General features: G+C 41.0%; 1 annotated feature.

Annotated features, from left to right (window-relative positions):
* Nucleotides 1–21904: part of a centromere (Linear centromere model derived predominantly from reads generated in PMID: 17803354. This region does not represent an actual centromere sequence, as long-range ordering of repeats and unmapped WGS contigs is not provided by the model. For details of model production, see http://arxiv.org/abs/1307.0035.) that runs on past both edges of the window.

Below are 21904 nucleotides of genomic sequence, written 5' to 3' on the forward strand. Positions count from 1 at the left end.
GGAGTAGTTTCGAAACACACTTTCTGTAGAATCTGCAAGTGGATATTTGGACCTGTCTGAGGAATTCGTTGGAAACGGGATAACTTCAGCTAACTAAACAGAAGCAATCTCAGAATCTTCTTTGTGATGTTTGCATTCAAATCCCAGAGTTGAACCTTCCTTTGAAAGTTCAGGTTTGAAACCCTCTTTTTGCAGGATCTACCAATTTATTTTGGGACCACTCTGTGGTCTTCGTTCGAAACGGGTATATCTTCACATAACATCTAGACAGAAGCATTCTCAGAAACTTTTCTGTGATGACTCCATTCAACTCACTGAGTTGAACACTCCTTTTGAGAGCGCAGTTTTGAAACTCTCTTTCTCTGGAATCTGCAAGGGGACATGCAGACCTCTTTGAAGGTTTCGTTGGAAACGGAATCATCTTCACATAAAAATTACACAGAAGCACCCTCAGGAACTCCTTGGTGATGTTTGTATTCAACTTCCAGAGTTGAACTTTCCTTCGGAAAGAGCAGCTATGAAACACTCTTTTTCTAGAATCTGAAAGTGGACATTGGGAGGGCTGTGAGGTTTGTGGTGGAAAAGGAAATATCTCCACATAAATACTAGATAGAAGCCTTCTCAGAAACTACTTTGTGATGATTGCATTCACCTCACGGAGTTGAGCATCCCTATTGACAGAGCAGTTTGGAAACACTCTTGTTGTACAATAGGCTAGTGGAGATTTGGAGCGCTTTGAGGCCTATGGTAGTAAAGGGAAGAGCTTCACATAAAATCTAGACAGAAGCATTCTCAGAAAATACTTTGTGATGATTGAGTTTAACACACAGAGCTGAACATTCCTTTGGATGGAGAAGGTTTGAAACACACTTTCTGTAGAATCTGCGAGTGGATATTTGGACCTCTCTGAGGATTTCGTTGGAAACGGGATAACTGCACCTAACTAAACGGAAGCATTCTCACAAAATTCTTTGTGATGTTTGCATTCAAATCCCAGAGTTGAACCTTCCTTTGATAGTTCAGCTTTGAAACACTCTTTTTGTAGGCTCTGCAGGTGGATATTTGGACCACTCTTTGGCCTTCGTTCGAAAAGGGTACATCTTCAAATAAAATCTAGACAGAAGCCTTCTCAGAAACTTCTCTGTGACGATTGCATTCAACTCAAAGCGTTGAACCCTCCTATGGATAGAGCAGTTTTGAATCTCTCTTTTTGTGGAATCTGCAAGTGGATATGTGGTCCTCTTTGAAGATGTCTTTGGAAACGGGAATATCTTCACATAAAAACTAAACAGAAGCATTCTCAGAAACTTCTCTGTGATGTTTGTGTTCAACTCACAGAGTTTCACGTTGCTTTTCATAGAGCAGATGAGAAACATGCTTTTCGTAGGGTCTGCAAGTGGACATTTGGAGAGCTTTCAGGCCTGTGGTGGAAAATGAATTATCGTCACGTAAAAACTAGAGAGAAGCATTGTCAGAAACTTGTTTGTGATGACTGCATTCAACTCACAGAGTTGAAGGTTCCTTTTCAAACAGCAGTTTCCAAACACTCTTTCTGTGGCATCTGCAAGTGGATGTTTGGGCCTCTTTGAAGATTTCGTTGGAAACGGGATAATCTTCACAGAAAAGCTAAACAGAAGCATTCTCAGAAACTTCTTTGTGATGTTTGCTTTCAACTCACAGAGTTGAACTTTCCTTTTGAGAGAGAAGCTTTGAAACACTCTTTTTCTAGAATCTGCAAGTGGATATTTGGAGGGCTTTGAGGCCTGAGGTGGAAAAGGAATTATCTTCCCGTAAGAACTAGATAGATGCATTCTCAGAAACTACTTTGTGACGATTGCATTCAAGTCACAGAGGTGAACATTCCCTTTCACAGAGCACTTTGGAAACTCTCGTTGTGTAGAATCTGCAAGTGGAGATATGGACCGCTTTGAGGCCTATGGTAGTAAAGGAAACAGCTTCATATAAAAACTAGACAGCAGCATTCTCAGAAAACTCTTTGTGACGACTGAGTTTAACTCACAGGGCTGAACATTCCTTTGGATGGAGCAGTTTGGAAACACACTATCTGTAGGATCTGCAAGCGGATACTTGGGCCTCCCTGAGGATTTCGTGGGAAACGGGATAAACCGCACAGAACTAAACAGAAGCATTCTCAGAACCTTCTTCGTGATGTTTGCATTCAACCCACAGTGTTGAACCTTTCTTTGATAGTTCAGCTTTGAAACACTCTTTTTGTAGAAACTGCAAGTGGATAACTGCACTTCTTTGAGGCCTATCGTAGTAAAGGAAATAACTTCCTATAAAAACAAGACAGAAGCTTTCTCAGAAAATTCTCTGGGATGATTGAGTTGAACTCACAGAGCAGTACTTTCCTTGGGATGGAGTAGTTTCGAAACACACTTTCTGTAGAATCTGCAAGTGGATATTTGGACCTGTCTGAGGAATTCGTTGCAAACGGGATAATTTCAGCTAAGTAAACAGAAGCAGTCTCAGAATCTTCTTGTGATGTTTGCATTCAAATCCCAGAATTGAACCTTCCTTTGAAAGTTCAGGTTGGAAACACTCTTTTTGCAGGATCTACAAGTGGATATTCGGACCACTCTGTGGACTTCCTTCGAAACGGGTATATCTTCACATAACATCTAGACAGAAGCATTCTCAGAAACTTTTCTGTGATGACTGCATTCAACTCACAGAGTTGAACACTCCTTTTGAGAGTGCAGTTTTGAAACTCTCTTTCTCTGGAATCTGCAAGGGGACATGCAGACCTCTTTGAAGGTTTCGTTGGAAACGGAATCATCTTCACATAAAAATTACACAGAGGCATCCTCAGGTAACTCCTTGGTGATGTTTGTATTCAACTTCCAGAGTTGAACTTTCCTTCGGAAAGAGCAGCTATGAAACACTCTCTTTCTAGAATCTGCAAGTGGACATTGGGAGGGCTGTGAGGTTTGTGGTGGAAAAGGAAATATCTCCACATAAATACTAGATAGAAGCCTTCTCAGAAACTACTTTGTGATGATTGCATTCACCTCACGGAGTGGAGCATTCCTATTGACAGAGCAGTTTGGAAACACTCTTCTTGTAGAATCGGCTAGTGGAGATTTGGAGCGCTTTGAGGCCTATGGTAGTAAAGGGAAGAGCTTCACATAAAATCTAGACAGAAACATTCTCAGAAAATACTTTGTGATGATTGAGTTTAACACACAGAGCTGAACATTCCTTTGGATGGAGAATGTTTGAAACACACTTTCTGTAGAATCTGCGAGTGGATATTTGGACCTCTCTGAGGATTTTGTTGGAAACGGGATAACTGCACCTAATTAAAGGAAGCATTCTCACAAAATTCTTTGTGATGTTTGCATTCAAATCCCAGAGTTGAACCTTCCTTTGATAGTTCAGCTTTGAAACACTCTTTTTGTAGGATCTGCAGGTGGATATTTGGACCACTCTTTGGCCTTCGTTCAAAACGGGTACATCTTCAAATAAAATCTAGACAGAAGCCTTCTCAGAAACTTCTCTGTGATGATTGAATTCAACTCAAGGCGTTGAACCCTCCTATGGATAGGGCAGTTTTGAATCTCTCTTTTTGTGGAATCTGCAAGTGGATATGTGGTCCTCTTTGAAGATGTCTTTGGAAACGGGAATATCTTCACATAAAAACTAAACAGAAGCATTCTCAGAAACTTCTCTGTGATGTTTGTGTTCAACTCACAGAGTTTCACGTTGCTTTTCATAGAGCAGATGAGAAACATGCTTTTCGTAGGGTCTGCAAGTGGACATTTGGAGAGATTTCAGGCCTGTGGTGGAAAACGAATTATCGTCACGTAAAAACTAGAGAGAAGCATTGTCAGAAACTTGTTTGTGATGACTGCATTCAACTCACAGAGTTGCAGGTTCCTTTTCAAACAGTAGTTTCCAAACACTCTTTCTGTGGCATCTGCAAGTGGATGTTTGGGCCTCTTTGAAGATTTCGTTGGAAACGGGATAATCTTCACAGAAAAGCTAAACAGAAGCATTGTCAGAAACTTCTTTGTGATGTTTGCTTTCAACTCACAGAGTTGAACTTTCCTTTTGAGAGAGAAGCTTTGAAACACTCTTTTTCTAGAATCTGCAAGTGGATATTTGGAGGGCTTTGAGGCCTGTGGTGGAAAACGAATTATCTTCCCGTAAGAACTAGATAGATGCATTCTCAGAAACTACTTTGTGACGATTGCATTCAAGTCACAGAGGTGAACATTCCCTTTCAGAGAGCACTTTGGAAACTCTCGTTGTGTAGAATCTGCAAGTGGAGATATGGACCGCTTTGAGGCCTATGGTAGTAAAGGAAACAGCTTCATATAAAAACTAGACAGCAAGAATTCTCAGAAAACTCTTTGTGACGACTGAGTTTAACTCACAGGGCTGAACATTCCTTTGGATGGAGCAGTTTGGAAACACACTATCTGTAGGATCTGCAAGCGGATACTTGGGCCTCTCTGAGGATTTCGTTGGAAACGGGATAAACCGCACAGAACTAAACAGAAGCATTCTCAGAACCTTCTTCGTGATGTTTGCATTCAACCCACAGTGTTGAACCTTTCTTTGATAGTTCAGGTTTGAAACACTCTTTTTGTAGAAACTGCAAGTGGATAACTGCACTTCTTTGAGGCCTATCGTAGTAAAGGAAATAACTTCCTATAAAAACAAGACAGAAGCTTTCTCAGAAAATTCTCTGGGATGATTGAGTTGAACTCACAGAGCAGTACTTTTCCTTGGGATGGAGTAGTTTCGAAACACACTTTCTGTAGAATCTGCAAGTGGATATTTGGACCTGTCTGAGGAATTCGTTGCAAACGGGATAATTTCAGCTAAGTAAACAGAAGCAGTCTCAGAATCTTCTTGTGATGGTTGCATTCAAATCCCAGAATGGAACCTTCCTTTGAAAGTTCAGGTTGGAAACACTCTTTTTGCAGGATCTACAAGTGGATATTCGGACCACTCTGTGGACTTCGCTCGAAACGGGTATATCTTCACATAACATCTAGACAGAAGCATTCTCAGAAACTTTTCTGTGATGACTGCATTCAACTCACAGAGTTGAACACTCCTTTTGAGAGCGCAGTTTTGAAACTCTCTTTCTCTGGAATCTGCAAGGGGACATGCAGACCTCTTTGAAGGTTTCGTTGGAAACGGAATCATCTTCACATAAAAATTACACAGATGCATCCTCAGGAACTCCTTGGTGATGTTTGTATTCAACTTCCAGAGTTGAACTTTCCTTCGGAAAGAGCAGCTATGAAACACTCTTTTTCTAGAATCTGCAAGTGGACATTGGGAGGGCTGTGAGGTTTGTGGTGGAAAAGGAAATATCTCCACATAAATACTAGATAGAAGCCTTCTCAGAAACTACTTTGTGATGATTGCATTCACCTCACGGAGTGGAGCATTCCTATTGACAGAGCAGTTTGGAAACACTCTACTTGTAGAATCGGCTAGTGGAGATTTGGAGCGCTTTGAGGCCTATGGTAGTAAAGGGAAGAGCTTCACATAAAATCTAGACAGAAGCATTCTCAGAAAATACTTTGTGATGATTGAGTTTAACACACAGAGCTGAACATTCCTTTGGATGGAGAAGGTTTGAAACACACTTTCTGTAGAATCTGCGAGTGGATATTTGGACCTCTCTGAGGATTTCGTTGGAAACGGGATAACTGCACCTAACTAAACGGAAGCATTCTCACAAAATTCTTTGTGATGTTTGCATTCAAATCCCAGAGTTGAACCTTCCTTTGATAGTTCAGCTTTGAAACACTCTTTTTGTAGGATCTGCAGGTGGATATTTAGACCACTCTTTGGCCTTCGTTCGAAACGGGTACATCTTCAAATAAAATCTAGACAGAAGCCTTCTCAGAAACTTCTCTGTGACGATTGCATTCAACTCAAAGCGTTGAACCCTCCTATGGATAGAGCAGTTTTGAATCTCTCTTTTTCTGGAATCTGCAAGTGGATATGTGGTCCTCTTTGAAGATGTCTTTGGAAACGGGAATATCTTCACATAAAAACTAAACAGAAGCATTCTCAGAAACTTCTCTGTGATGTTTGTGTTCAACTCACAGAGTTTCACGTTGCTTTTCATAGAGCAGATGAGAAACATGCTTTTCGTAGGGTCTGCAAGTGGACATTTGGAGAGATTTCCGGCCTGTGGTGGAAAACGAATTATCGTCACGTAAAAACTAGAGAGAAGCATTGTCAGAAACTTGTTTGTGATGACTGCATTCAACTCACAGAGTTGAAGGTTCCTTTTCAAACACCAGTTTCCAAACACTCTTTCTGTGGCATCTGTAAGTGGATGTTTGGGCCTCTTTGAAGATTTCGTTGGAAACGGGATAATCTTCACAGAAAAGCTAAACAGAAGCATTCTCAGAAACTTCTTTGTGATGTTTGCTTTCAACTCACAGAGTTGAACTTTCCTTTTGAGAGAGAAGCTTTGAAACACTCTTTTTCAAGAATCTGCAAGTGGATATTTGGAGGGCTTTGAGGCCTGTGGTGGAAAAGGAATTATCTTCCCGTAAGAACTAGATAGATGCATTCTCAGAAAATACTTTGTGACGATTGCATTCAAGTCCCAGATGTGAACATTCCCTTTCACAGAGCACTTTGGAAACTCTCGTTGTGTAGAATCTGCAAGTCGAGATATGGACCGCTTTGAGGCCTATGGTAGTAAAGGAAACAGCTTCATATAAAAACTAGACAGCAGCATTCTCAGAAAACTCTTTGTGACGACTGAGTTTAACTCACAGGGCTGAACATTCCTTTGGATGGAGCAGTTTGGAAACATACTATCTGTAGGATCTGCAAGCGGATACTTGGGCCTCCCTGAGGATTTCGTTGGAAACGGGATAAACCGCACAGAACTAAACAGAAGCATTCTCAGAACCTTCTTCGTGATGTTTGCATTCAACCCACAGTGTTGAACCTTTCTTTGATAGTTCAGGTTTGAAACACTCTTTTAGTAGAAACTGCAAGTGGATAACTGCACTTCTTTGAGGCCTATCGTAGTAAAGGAAATAACTTCCTATAAAAACAAGACAGAAGCTTTCTCAGAAAATTCTCTGGGATCATTGAGTTGAACTCACAGAGCAGTACTTTCTTTGGGATGGAGTAGTTTCGAAACACACTTTCTGTACAATCTGCAAGTGGATATTTGGACCTGTCTGAGGAATTCGTTGCAAACGGGATAATTTCAGCTAAGTAAACAGAAGCAGTCTCAGAATCTTCTTGTGATGTTTGCATTCAAATCCCAGAATTGAACCTTCCTTTGAAAGTTCAGGTTGGAAACACTCTTTTTGCAGGATCTACAAGTGGATATTCGGACCACTCTGTGGACTTCGTTCGAAACGGCTATATCTTCACATAACATCTAGACAGAAGCATTCTCAGAAACTTTTCTGTGATGACTGCATTCAACTCACAGAGTTGAACACTCCTTTTGAGAGCGCAGTTTTGAAACTCTCTTTCTCTGGAATCTGCAAGGGGACATGCAGACCTCTTTGAAGGTTTCGTTGGAAACGGAATCATCTTCACATAAAAATTACACAGAAGCATTCTCAGGAACTCCTTGGTGATGTTTGTATTCAACTTCCAGAGTTGAACTTTCCTTCGGAAAGAGCAGCTATGAAACACACTTTCTCTAGAATCTGCAAGTGGACATTGGGAGAGCTGTGAGGTTTGTGGTGGAAAAGGAAATATCTCCACATAAATACTAGATAGAAGCCTTCTCAGAAACTACTTTGTGATGATTGCATTCACCTCACGGAGTGGAGCATTCCTATTGACAGAGCAGTTTGGAAACACTCTTCTCGTAGAATCGGCTAGCGGAGATTTGGAGCGCTTTGAGGCCTATGGTAGTAAAGGGAAGAGCTTCACATAAAATCTAGACAGAAGCATTCTCAGAAAATACTTTGTGATGATTGAGTTTAACACACAGAGCTGCACATTCCTTTGGATGGAGAAGGTTTGAAACACACTTTCTGTAGAATCTGCGAGTGGATATTTGGACCTCTCTGAGGATTTCGTTGGAAACGGGATAACTGCACCTAACTAAACGGAAGCATTCTCACAAAATTCTTTGTGATGTTTGCATTCAAATCCCAGAGTTGAACCTTCCTTTGATAGTTCAGCTTTGAAACACTCTTTTTGTAGGATCTGCAGGTGGATATTTGGACCACTCTTTGGCCTTCGTTCGAAACGGGTACATCTTCAAATAAAATCTAGACAGAAGCCTTCTCAGAAACTTCTCTGTGACGATTGCATTCAACTCACAGCGTTGAACCCTCCTATGGATAGAGCAGGTTTGAATCTCTCTTTTTGTGGAATCTGCAAGTGGATGTGTGGTCCTCTTTGAAGATGTCTTTGGAAACGGGAATATCTTCACATAAAAACTAAACAGAAGCATTCTCAGAAACTTCTCTGTGATGTTTGTGTTCAACTCACAGAGTTTCACGTTCCTGTTCATAGAGCAGATGAGAAATATGCTTTTCGTAGGGTCTGCAAGTGGACATTTGGAGAGATTTCAGGCCTGTGGTGGAAAACGAATTATCGTCACGTAAAAACTAGAGAGAAGCATTGTCAGAAACTTGTTTGTGATGACTGCATTCAACTCACAGAGTTGAAGGTTCCTTTTCAAACAGCAGTTTCCAAACACTCTTTCTGTGGCATCTGCAAGTGGATGTTTGGGCCTCTTTGAAGATTTCGTTGGAAACGGGATAATCTTCACAGAAAAGCTAAACAGAAGCATTCTCAGAAACTTCTTTGTGATGTTTGCTTTCAACTCACAGAGTTGAACTTTCCTTTTGAGAGAGAAGCTTTGAAACACTCTTTTTCTAGAATCTGCAAGTGGATATTTGGAGGGCTTTGAGGCCTGAGGTGGAAAAGGAATTATCTTCCCGTAAGAACTAGATAGATGCATTCTCAGAAACTACTTTGTGACGATTGCTTTCAAGTCACAGAGGTGAACATTCCCTTTCAGAGAGCACTTTGGAAACTCTCGTTGTGTGGAATCTGCAAGTGGAGATATGGACCGCTTTGAGGCCTATGGTAGTAAAGGAAACAGCTTCATATAAAAACTAGACAGCAGCATTCTCAGAAAACTCTTTGTGACGACTGAGTTTAACTCACAGGGCTGAACATTCCTTTGGATGGAGCAGTTTGGAAACACACTATCTGTAGGATCTGCAAGCGGATACTTGGGCCTCCCTGAGGATTTCGTTGGAAACGGGATAAACCGCACAGAACTAAACAGAAGCATTCTCAGAACCTTCTTCGTGATGTTTGCATTCAACCCACAGTGTTGAACCTTTCTTTGATAGTTCAGGTTTGAAACACTCTTTTTGTAGAAACTGCAAGTGGATAACTGCACTTCTTTGAGGCCTATCATAGTAAAGGAAATAACTTCCTGTAAAAACAAGACAGAAGCTTTCTCAGAAAATTCTCTGGGATGATTGAGTTGAACTCACAGGGCAGTACTTTCCTTGGGATGGAGTAGTTTCGAAACACACTTTCTGTAGAATCTGCAAGTGGATATTTGGTCCTGTCTGAGGAATTCGTTGCAAACGGGATAATTTCAGCTAAGTAAACAGAAGCAGTCTCAGAATCTTCTTGTGATGTTTGCATTCAAATCCCAGAATTGAACCTTCCTTTGAAAGTTCAGGTTGGAAACACTCTTTTTGCAGGATCTACAAGTGGATATTCGGACCACTCTGTGGACTTCGTTTGAAACGGGTATATCTTCACATAACATCTAGACAGAAGCATTCTCAGAAACTTTTCTGTGATGACTGCATTCAACTCACAGAGTTGAACACTCCTTTTGAGAGCGCAGTTTTGAAACTCTCTTTCTCTGGAATCTGCAAGGGGACATGCAGACCTCTTTGAAGGTTTCATTGGAAACGGAATCATCTTCACATAAAAATTACACAGAAGCATCCTCAGGAACTCCTTGGTGATGTTTGTATTCAACTTCCAGAGTTGAACTTTCCTTCGGAAAGAGCAGCTATGAAACACTCTTTTTCTAGAATCTGCAAGTGGACATTGGGAGGGCTGTGAGGTTTGTGGTGGAAAAGGAAATATCTCCACATAAATACTAGATAGAAGCCTTCTCAGAAACTACTTTGTGATGACTGCATTCACCTCACGGAGTGGAGCATTCCTATTGACAGAGCAGTTTGGAAACACTCTTCTTGTAGAATCGGCTAGTGGAGAGTTGGAGCGCTTTGAGGCCTATGGTAGTAAAGGGAAGAGCTTCACATAAAATCTAGACAGAAAGCATTCTCAGAAAATACTTTGTGATGATTGAGTTTAACACACAGAGCTGAACATTCCTTTGGATGGAGAAGGTTTGAAACACACTTTCTGTAGAATCTGCGAGTGGATATTTGGACCTCTCTGAGGATTTCGTTGGAAACGGGATAACTGCACCTAACTAAACGGAAGCATTCTCACAAAATTCTTTGTGATGTTTGCATTCAAATCCCAGAGTTGAACCTTCCTTTGATAGTTCAGCTTTGAAACACTCTTTTTGTAGGTTCTGCAGGTGGATATTTGGACCACTCTTTGGCCTTCGTTCGAAACGGGTACATCTTCAAATAAAATCTAGACAGAAGCCTTCTCAGAAACTTCTCTGTGACGATTGCATTCAACTCAAAGAGTTGAACCCTCCTATGGATAGAGCAGTTTTGAATCTCTCTTTTTGTGGAATCTGCAAGTGGATATGTGGTCCTCTTTGAAGATGTCTTTGGAAACGGGAATATCTTCACATAAAAACTAAACAGAAGCATTCTCAGAAACTTCTCTGTGATGTTTGTGTTCAACTCACAGAGTTTCACGTTGCTATTCATAGAGCAGATGAGAAACATGCTTTTCGTAGGGTCTGCAAGTGGACATTTCGAGAGATTTCCGGCCTGCGGTGGAAAACGAATTATCGTCACGTAAAAACTAGAGAGAAGCATTGTCAGAAACTTGTTTGTGATGACTGCATTCAACTCACGGAGTTGAAGGTTCCTTTTCAAACAGCAGTTTCCAAACACTCTTTCTGTGGCATCTGCAAGTGGATGATTGGGCCTCTTTGAAGATTTCGTTGGAAACGGGATAATCTTCACAGAAAAGCTAAACAGAAGCATTCTCAGAAACTTCCTTGTGATGTTTGCTTTCAACTCACAGAGTTGAACTTTCCTTTTGAGAGAGAAGCTTTGAAACACTCTTTTTCTAGAACCTGCAAGTGGATATTTGGAGGGCTTTGAGGCCTGAGGTGGAAAAGGAATTATATTCCCGTAAGAACTAGATAGATGCATTCTCAGAAACTGCTTTGTGACGATTGCATTCAAGTCACAGAGGTGAACATTCCCTTTCAGAGAGCACTTTGGAAACTCTCGTTGTGTAGAATCTGCAAGTGGAGATATGGACCGCTTTGAGGCCTATGGTAGTAAAGGAAACAGCTTCATATAAAAACTAGACAGCAGCATTCTCAGAAAACTCTTTGTGACGACTGAGTTTAACTCACAGGGCTGAACATTCCTTTGGATGGAGCAGTTTGGAAACACACCATCTGTAGGATCTGCAAGCGGATACTTGGGACTCTCTGAGGATTTCGTTGGAAACGGGATAAACCACACAGAACTAAATAGAAGCATTCTCAGATCCTTCTTCGTGATGTTTGCATTCAACCCACAGTGTTGAACCTTTCCTTGATAGTTCAGGTTTGAAACACTCTTTTTGTAGAAACTGCAAGTGGATAACTGCACTTCTTTGAGGCCTATCGTAGTAAAAGAAATAACTTCCTATAAAAACAAGACAGAAGCTTTCTCAGAAAATTCTCTGGGATGATTGAGTTGAACTCACAGAGCAGTACTTTCCTTGGGATGGAGTAGTTTCGAAACACACTTTCTGTAGAATCTGCAAGTGGATATTTGGACCTGTCTGAGGAATTCGTTGCAAACGGGATAATTTCAGCTAAGTAAACAGAAGCAGTCTCAGAATCTTCTTGTGATGTTTGCATTCAAATCCCAGAATTGAACCTTCCTTTGAAAGTTCAGGTTGGAAACACTCTTTTTGCAGGATCTACAAGTGGATATTCGGACCACTCTGTGGACTTCGTTCGAAACGGCTATATCTTCACATAACATCTAGACAGAAGCATTCTCAGAAACTTTTCTGTGATGACTGCATTCAACTCACAGAGTTGAACACTCCTTTTGAGAGCGCAGTTTTGAAACTCTCTTTCTCTGGAATCTGCAAGGGGACATGCAGACCTCTTTGAAGGTTTCGTTGGAAACGGAATCATCTTCACATAAAAATTACACAGAAGCATCCTCAGGAACTCCTTGGGGATGTCTGTATTCAACTTCCAGAGTTGAACTTTCCTTCGGAAAGAGCAGCTATGAAACACTCTTTTTCTAGAATCTGCAAGTGGACATTGGGAGGGCTGTGAGGTTTGTGGTGGAAAAGGAAATATCTCCACATAAATACTAGATAGAAGGCTTCTCAGAAACTACTTTGTGATGATTGCATTCACCTCACGGAGTGGAGCATTCCTATTGACAGAGCAGTTTGGAAACACTCTTGTTGTAGAATCTGCTAGTGGAGATTTGGAGCGCTTTGAGGCCTATGGTAGTAAAGGGAAGAGCTTCACATAAAATCTAGACAGAAGCATTCTCAGAAAATACTTTGTGATGATTGAGTTTAACACACAGAGCTGAACATTCCTTTGGATGGAGAAGGTTTGAAACACACTTTCTGTAGAATCTGCGAGTGGATATTTGGACCTCTCTGAGGATTTCGTTGGAAACGGGATAACTGCACCTAACTAAACGGAAGCATTCTCACAAAATTCTTTGTGATGTTTGCATTCAAATCCCAGAGTTGAACCTTCCTTTGATAGTTCAGTTTTGAAACACTCTTTTTGTAGGATCTACAGGTGGATATTTGGACCACTCTTTGGCCTTCGTTCGAAAAGGGTACATCTTCAAATAAAATCTAGACAGAAGCCTTCTCAGAAACTTCTCTGTGACGATTGCATTCAACTCAAAGAGTTGAACCCTCCTATGGATAGAGCAGTTTTGAATCTCTCTTTATGTGGAATCTGCAAGTGGATATGTGGTCCTCTTTGAAGATGTCTTTGGAAACGGGAATATCTTCACATAAAAACTAAACAGAAGCATTCTCAGGAAACTTCTCTGTGATGTTTGTGTTCAACTCACAGAGTTTCACGTTGCTTTTCATAGAGCAGATGAGAAACATGCTTTTCGTAGGGTCTGCAAGTGGACATTTGGAGAGATTTCAGGCCTGTGGTGGAAAACGAATTATCGTCACGTAAAAACTAGAGGGAAGCATTGTCAGAAACTTGTTTGTGATGACTGCATTCAACTCACAGAGTTGAAGGTTCCTTTTCAAACAGCAGTTTCCAAACACTCTTTCTGTGGCATCTGCAAGTGGATGTTTGGGCCTCTTTGAAGATTTCGTTGGAAACGGGATAATCTTCACAGAAAAGCTAAACAGAAGCATTCTCAGAAACTTCTTTGTGATGTTCGCTTTCAACTCACAGAGTTGAACTTTCCTTTTGAGAGAGAAGCTTTGAAACACTCTTTTTCTAGAATCTGCAAGTGAATATTTGGAGGGCTTTGAGGCCTGTGGTGGAAAAGGAATTATCTTCCCGTAAGAACTAGATAGATGCATTCTCAGAAACTACTTTGTGACGATTGCATTCAAGTCACAGAGGTGAACATTCCCTTTCACAGAGCACTTTGGAAACTCTCGTTGTGTAGAATCTGCAAGTGGAGATATGGACCGCTTTGAGGCCTATGGTAGTAAAGGAAACAGCTTCATATAAAAACTAGACAGCCAGCATTCTCAGAAAACTCTTTGTGACGACTGAGTTTAACTCACAGGGCTGAACATTCCTTTGGATGGAGCAGTTTGGAAACACACTATCTGTAGGATCTGCAAGCGGATACTTGGGCCTCTCTGAGGATTTCGTTGGAAACGGGATAAACCGCACAGAACTAAACAGAAGCATTCTCAGAACCTTCTTCGTGATGTTTGCATTCAACCCACATTGTTGAACCTTTCTTTGATAGTTCAGGTTTGAAACACTCTTTTTGTAGAAACTGCAAGTGGATAACTGCACTTCTTTGAGGCCTATCGTAGTAAAGGAAATAACTTCCTATAAAAACAAGACAGAAGCTTTCTCAGAAAATTCTCTGGGATGATTGAGTTGAACTCACAGAGCAGTACTTTCCTTGGGATGGAGTAGTTTCGAAACACACTTTCTGTAGAATCTACAAGTGGATATTTGGACCTGTCAGAGGAATTCGTTGCAAACGGGATAATTTCAGCTAAGTAAACAGAAGCAGTCTCAGAATCTTCTTGTGATGTTTGCATTCAAATCCCAGAATTGAACCTTCCTTTGAAAGTTCAGGTTGGAAACACTCTTTTTGCAGGATCTACAAGTGGATATTCGGACCACTCTGTGGACTTCGATCGAAACGGGTATATCTTCACATAACATCTAGACAGAAGCATTCTCAGAAACTTTTCTGTGATGACTGCATTCAACTCACAGAGTTGAACACTCCTTTTGAGAGCGCAGTTTTGAAACTCTCTTTCTCTGGAATCTGCAAGGGGACATGCAGACCTCTTTGAAGGTTTCGTTGGAAACGGAATCATCTTCACATAAAAATTACACAGAAGCATTCTCAGGAACTCCTTGGTGATGTTTGTATTCAACTTCCAGAGTTGAACTTTCCTTCGGAAAGAGCAGCTATGAAACACCCTTTTTCTAGAATCTGCAAGTGGACATTGGGAGGGCTGTGAGGTTTGTGGTGGAAAAGGAAATATCTCCACATAAATACTAGATAGAAGCCTTCTCAGAAGCTACTTTGTGATGATTGCATTCACCTCACGGAGTGGAGCATTCCTATTGACAGAGCAGTTTGGAAACACTCTTCTTGTAGAATCGGCTAGTGGAGATTTGGAGCGCTTTGAGGCCTATGGTAGTAAAGGGAAGAGCTTCACATAAAATCTAGACAGACGCATTCTCAGAAAATACTTTGTGATGATTGAGTTTAACACACAGAGCTGAACATTCCTTTGGATGGAGAAGGTTTGAAACACACTTTCTGTAGAATCTGCGAGTGGATATTTGGACCTCTCTGAGGATTTCGTTGGAAATGGGATAACTGCACCTAACTAAACGGAAGCATTCTCACAAAATTCTTTGTGATGTTTGCATTCAAATCCCAGAGTTGAACCTTCCTTTGATAGTTCAGCTTTGAAACATTCTTTTTGTAGGTTCTGCAAGTGGATATTTGGACGACTCTTTGGCCTTCGTTCGAAACGGGTACATCTTCAAATGAAATCTAGACAGAAGCCTTCTCAGAAACTTCTCTGTGACGATTGCATTCAACTCAAAGCGTTGAACCCTCCTATGGATAGAGCAGTTTTGAATCTCTCTTTTTGTGGAATCTGCAAGTGGATATGTGGTCCTCTTTGAAGATGTCTTTGGAAACGGGAATATCTTCACATAAAAACTAAACAGAAGCATTCTCAGAAACTTCTCTGTGATGTTTGTGTTCAACTCACAGAGTTTCACGTTGCTTTTCATAGAGCAGATGAGAAACATGCTTTTCGTAAGGTCTGCAAGTGGACATTTGGAGAGATTTCAGGCCTGTGGTGGAAAACGAATTATCGTCACGTAAAAACTAGAGAGAAGCATTGTCAGAAACTTGTTTGTGATGACTGCATTCAACTCACAGAGTTGAAGGTTCCTTTTCAAACAGCAGTTTCCAAACACTCTTTCTGTGGCATCTGCAAGTGGATGTTTGGGCCTCTTTGAAGATTTCGTTGGAAACGGGATAATCTTCACAGAAAAGCTAAACAGAAGCATGCTCAGAAACTTCTTTGTGATGTTTGCTTTCAACTCACAGAGTTGAACTTTCCTTTTGAGAGAGAAGCTTTGAAACACTCTTTTTCTAGAATCTGCAAGTGGATATTTGGAGGGCTTTGAGGCCTGAGGTGGAAAAGGAATTATCTTCTCGTAAGAACTAGATAGATGCATTCTCGGAAACTACTTTGTGACGATTGCATTCAAGTCACAGAGGTGAACATTCCCTTTCAGAGAGCACTTTGGAAACTCTCGTTGTGTAGAATCTGCAAGTGGAGATATGGACCGCTTTGAGGCCTATGGTAGTAAAGGAAACAGCTTCATATAAAAACTAGACAGCAGCATTCTCAGAAAACTCTTTGTGACGACTGAGTTTAACTCACAGGGCTGAACATTCCTTTGGATGGAGCAGTTTGGAAACACACTATCTGTAGGATCTGCAAGCGGATACTTGGGCCTCCCTGAGGATTTCGTTGGAAACGGGATAAACCGCACAGAACTAAACAGAAGCATTCTCAGAACTTTCTTCGTGATGTTTGCATTCAACCCACAGTGTTGAACCTTTCTTTGATAGTTCAGGTTTGAAACACTCTTTTTGTAGAAACTGCAAGTGGATAACTGCACTTCTTTGAGGCCTATCGTAGTAAAGGAAATAACTTCCTATAAAAACAAGACAGAAGCTTTCTCAGAAAATTCTCTGGGATGATTGAGTTGAACTCACAGAGCAGTACTTTCCTTGGGATGGAGTAGTTTCGAAACACACTTTCTGTAGAATCTGCAAGTGGATATTTGGACCTGTCTGAGGAATTCGTTGCAAACGGGATAATTTCAGCTAAGTAAACAGAAGCAGTCTCAGAATCTTCTTGTGATGTTTGCATTCAAATCCCAGAATTGAACCTTCCTTTGAAAGTTCAGGTTGGAAACACTCTTTCTGCAGGATCTACAAGTGGATATTCGGACCACTCTGTGGACTTCGTTCGAAACGGGTATATCTTCACATAACATCTAGACAGAAGCATTCTCAGAAACTTTTCTGTGATGACTGCATTCAACTCACAGAGTTGAACACTCCTTTTGAGAGCGCAGTTTTGAAACTCTCTTTCTCTGGAATCTGCAAGGGGACATGCAGACCTCTTTGAAGGTTTCGTTGGAAACGGAATCATCTTCACATAAAAATTACACAGAAGCATTCTCAGGAACTCCTTGGTGATGTTTGTATTCAACTTCCAGAGTTGAACTTTCCTTCGGAAAGAGCAGCTATGAAACACTCTTTTTCTAGAATCTACAAGTGGACATTGGGAGGGCTGTGAGGTTTGTGGTGGAAAAGGAAATATCTCCACGTAAATACTAGATAGAAGGCTTCTCAGAAACTACGTTGTGATGATTGCATTCACCTCACGGAGTGGAGCATTCCTATTGACAGAGCAGTTTGGAAACAGTCTTGTTGTAGAATCTGCTAGTGGAGATTTGGAGCGCTTTGAGGCCTATGGTAGTAAAGGGAAGAGCTTCACATAAAATCTAGACAGAAACATTCTCAGAAAATACTTTGTGATGATTGAGTTTAACACACAGAGCTGAACATTCCTTTGGATGGAGAAGGTTTGAACCACACTTTCTGTAGAATCTGCGAGTGGATATTTGGACCTCTCTGAGGATTTCGTTGGAAACCGGATAACTGCACCTAACTAAACGGAAGCATTCTCACAAAATTCTTTGTGATGTTTGCATTCAAATCCCAGAGTTGAAACTTCCTTTGATAGTTCAGCTTTGAAACACTCTTTTTGTAGGATCTACAGGTGGATATTTGGACCACTCTTTGGCCTTCGTTCGAAAAGGGTACATCTTCAAATAAAATCTAGACAGAAGCCTTCTCAGAAACTTCTCTGTGACGATTGCATTCAACTCAAAGCGTTGAACCCTCCTATGGATAGAGCAGTTTTGAATCTCTCTTTTTGTGGCATCTGCAAGTGGATGTTTGGGCCTCTTTGAAGATTTCGTTGGAAACGGGATAATCTTCACAGAAAAGCTAAACAGAAGCATTCTCAGAAACTTCTCTGTGATGTTTGTGTTCAACTCTCAGAGTTTCACGTTGCTTTTCATAGAGCAGATGAGAAACATGCTTTTCGTAGGGTCTGCAAGTGGACATTTGGAGAGCTTTCAGGCCTTTGGTGGAAAACGAATTATCGTCACGTAAAAACTAGAGAGAAGCATTGTCAGAAACTTGTTTGTGATGACTGCATTCAACTCACAGAGTTGAAGGTTCCTTTTCAAACAGCAGTTTCCAAACACTCTTTCTGTGGCATCTGCAAGTGGATGTTTGGGCCTCTTTGAAGATTTCGTTGGAAACGGGATAATCTTCACAGAAAAGCTAAACAGAAGCATTATCAGAAACTTCTTTGTGATGTTTGCTTTCAACTCACAGAGTTGAACTTTCCTTTTGAGAGAGAAGCTTTGAAACACTCTTTTTCTAAAATCTGCAAGTGGATATTTGGAGGGCTTTGAGGCCTGAGGTGGAAAAGGAATTATCTTCCCGTAAGAACTAGATAGATGCATTCTCAGAAACTACTTTGTGACGATTGCATTCAAGTCACAGAGGTGAACATTCCCTTTCACAGAGCACTTTGGAAACTCTCGTTGTGTAGAATCTGCAAGTGGAGATATGGACCGCTTTGAGGCCTATGGTAGTAAAGGAAACAGCTTCATATAAAACCTAGACAGCAGCATTCTCAGAAAACTCTTTGTGACGACTGAGTTTAACTCACAGGGCTGAACATTCCTTTGGATGGAGCAGTTTGGAAACACACTATCTGTAAGATCTGCAAGCGGATACTTGGGCCTCTCTGAGGATTTCGTTGGAAATGGGATAAACCGCACAGAACTAAACAGAAGCATTCTCAGAACCTTCTTCGTGACGTTTGCATTCAACCCACAGTGTTGAACCTTTCTTTGATAGTTCAGGTTTGAAACACTCTTTTTGTAGAAACTGCAAGTGGATAACTGCACTTCTTTGAGGCCTATCGTAGTAAAGGAAATAACTTCCTATAAAAACAAGACAGAAGCTTTCTCAGAAAATTCTCTGGGATGATTGAGTTGAACTCACAGAGCAGTACTTTCCTTGGGATGGAGTAGTTTCGAAACACACTTTCTGTAGAATCTGCAAGTGGATATTTGGACCTGTCTGAGGAATTCGTTGCAAACGGGATAATTTCAGCTAAGTAAACAGAAGCAGTCTCAGAATCTTCTTGTGATGGTTGCATTGAAATCCCAGAATTGAACCTTCCTTTGAAAGTTCAGGTTGGAAACACTCTTTTTGCAGGATCTACAAGTGGATATTCGGACCACACTGTGGACTTCGTTCGAAACGGGTATATCTTCACATAACATCTAGACAGAAGCATTTTCAGAAACTTTTCTGTGATGACTGCATTCAACTCACAGAGTTGAACACTCCTTTTGAGAGCGCAGTTTTGAAACTCTCTTTCTCTGGAATCTGCAAGGGGACATGCAGACCTCTCTGAAGGTTTCGTTGGAAACGGAATCATCTTCACATAAAAATTACACAGAAGCATCCTCAGGAACTCCTTGGTGATGTTTGTATTCAACTTCCAGAGTTGAACTTTCCTTCGGAAAGAGCAGCTATGAAACACTCTTTTTCTAGAATCTGCAAGTGGACATTGGGAGGGCTGTGAGGTTTGTGGTGGAAAAGGAAATATCTCCACATAAATACTAGATAGAAGCCTTCTCAGAAACTACTTTGTGATGATTGCATTCACCTCACGGATTGGAGCATTCCTATTGACAGAGCAGTTTGGAAACACTCTTCTTGTAGAATCGGCTAGTGGAGATTTGGAGCGCTTTGAGGCCTATGGTAGTAAAGGGAAGAGCTTCACATAAAATCTAGACAGAAGCATTCTCAGAAAATACTTTGTGATGATTGAGTTTAACACACAGAGCTGAACATTCCTTTGGATGGAGAAGGTTTGAAACACACTTTCTGTAGAATCTGCGAGTGGATATTTGGACCTCTCTGAGGATTTCGTTGGAAACGGGATAACTGCACCTAACTAAACGGAAGCATTCTCACAAAATTCTTCGTGATGTTTGCTTTCAAATCCCAGAGTTGAACCTTCCTTTGATAGTTCAGCTTTGAAACACTCTTTTTGTAGGATCTGCAAGTGGATATTTGGACCACTCTTTGGCCTTCCTTCGAAACGGGTACATCTTCATATAAAATCTAGACAGAAGCCTTCTCAGAAACTTCTCTGTGACGATTGCATTCAACTCAAAGAGTTGAACCCTCCTATGGATAGAGCAGTTTTGAATCTCTCTTTTTGTGGAATCTGCAAGTGGATATGTGGTCCTCTTTGAAGATGTCTTTGGAAACGGGAATATCTTCACATTAAAACTAAACAGAAGCATTCTCAGAAACTTCTCTGTCATGTTTGTGTTCAACTCACAGAGTTTCACGTTGCTTTTCATAGAGCAGAGGAGAAACATGCTTTTTGTAGGGTCTGCAAGTGGACGTTTGGAGAGATTTCAGGCCTGTGGTGGAAAACGAATTATCGTCACGTAAAAACTAGAGAGAAGCATTGTCAGAAACTTGTTTGTGATGACTGCATTCAACTCACAGAGTTGAAGGTTCCTTTTCAAACAGCAGTTTCCAAACACTCTTTCTGTGGCATCTGCAAGTGGATGTTTGGGCCTCTTTGAAGATTTCGTTGGAAACGGGATAATCTTCACAGAAAAGCTAAACAGAAGCATTCTCAGAAACTTCTTTGTGATGTTTGCTTTCAACTCACAGAGTTGAACTTTCCTTTTGAGAGAGAAGCTTTGAAACACTCTTTTTCTACAATCTGCAAGTGGATATTTGGAGGGCTTTGAGGCCTGTGGTGGAAAAGGAATTATCTTCCCGTAAGAACTAGATGGATGCATTCTCAGAAACTACTTTGTGACGATTGCATTCAAGTCACAGAGGTGAACATTCCCTTTCAGAGAGCACTTTGGAAACCCCCGTTGTGTAGAATCTGCAAGTGGAGATATGGACCGCTTTGAGGCCTATGGTAGTAAAGGAAACAGCTTCATATAAAAACTAGACAGCAGCATTCTCAGAAAACTCTTTGTGACGACTGAGTTTAACTCACAGGGCTGAACATTCCTTTGGATGGAGCAGTTTGGAAACACACTATCTGTAGGATCTGCAAGCGGATACTTGGGCCTCCCTGAGGATTTCGTTGGAAACGGGATAAACCGCACAGAACTAAACAGAAGCATTCTCAGAACCTTCTTCGTGATGTTTGCCTTCAACCCACAGTGTTGAACCTTTCTTTGATAGTTCAGGTTTGAAACATTCTTTTTGTAGAAACTGCAAGTGGATAACTGCACTTCTTTGAGGCCTATCGTAGTAAAGGAAATAACTTCCTATAAAAACAAGACAGAAGCTTTCTCAGAAAATTCTCTGGGATGATTGACTTGAACTCACAGAGCAGTACTTTCCTTGGGATGGAGTAGTTTCGAAACACACTTTCTGTAGAATCTGCAAGTGGATATTTGAACCTGTCTGAGGAATTCGTTGCAAACGGGATAATTTCAGCTAAGTAAACAGAAGCAGTCTCAGAATCTTCTTGTGATGTTTGCATTCAAATCCCAGAATTGAACCTTCCTTTGAAAGTTCAGGTTGGAAACACTCTTTTTGCAGGATCTACAAGTGGATATTCGGACCACTCTGTGGACTTCGTTCGAAACGGGTATATCTTCACATAACATCTAGACAGAAGCATTCTCAGAAACTTTTCTGTGATGACTGCATTCAACTCACAGAGTTGAACACTCCTTTTGAGAGCGCAGTTTTGAAACTCTCTTTCTCTGGAATCTGCAAGGGGACATGCAGACCTCTTTGAAGGTTTCGTTGGAAACGGAATCATCTTCACATAAAAATTACACAGAAGCATTCTCAGGAACTCCTTGGTGATGTTTGTATTCAACTTCCAG

The sequence above is a fragment of the Homo sapiens genome, chromosome 17, assembly GCF_000001405.40.
Source record: "Homo sapiens chromosome 17, GRCh38.p14 Primary Assembly".
NCBI lineage: Eukaryota > Metazoa > Chordata > Mammalia > Primates > Hominidae > Homo > Homo sapiens.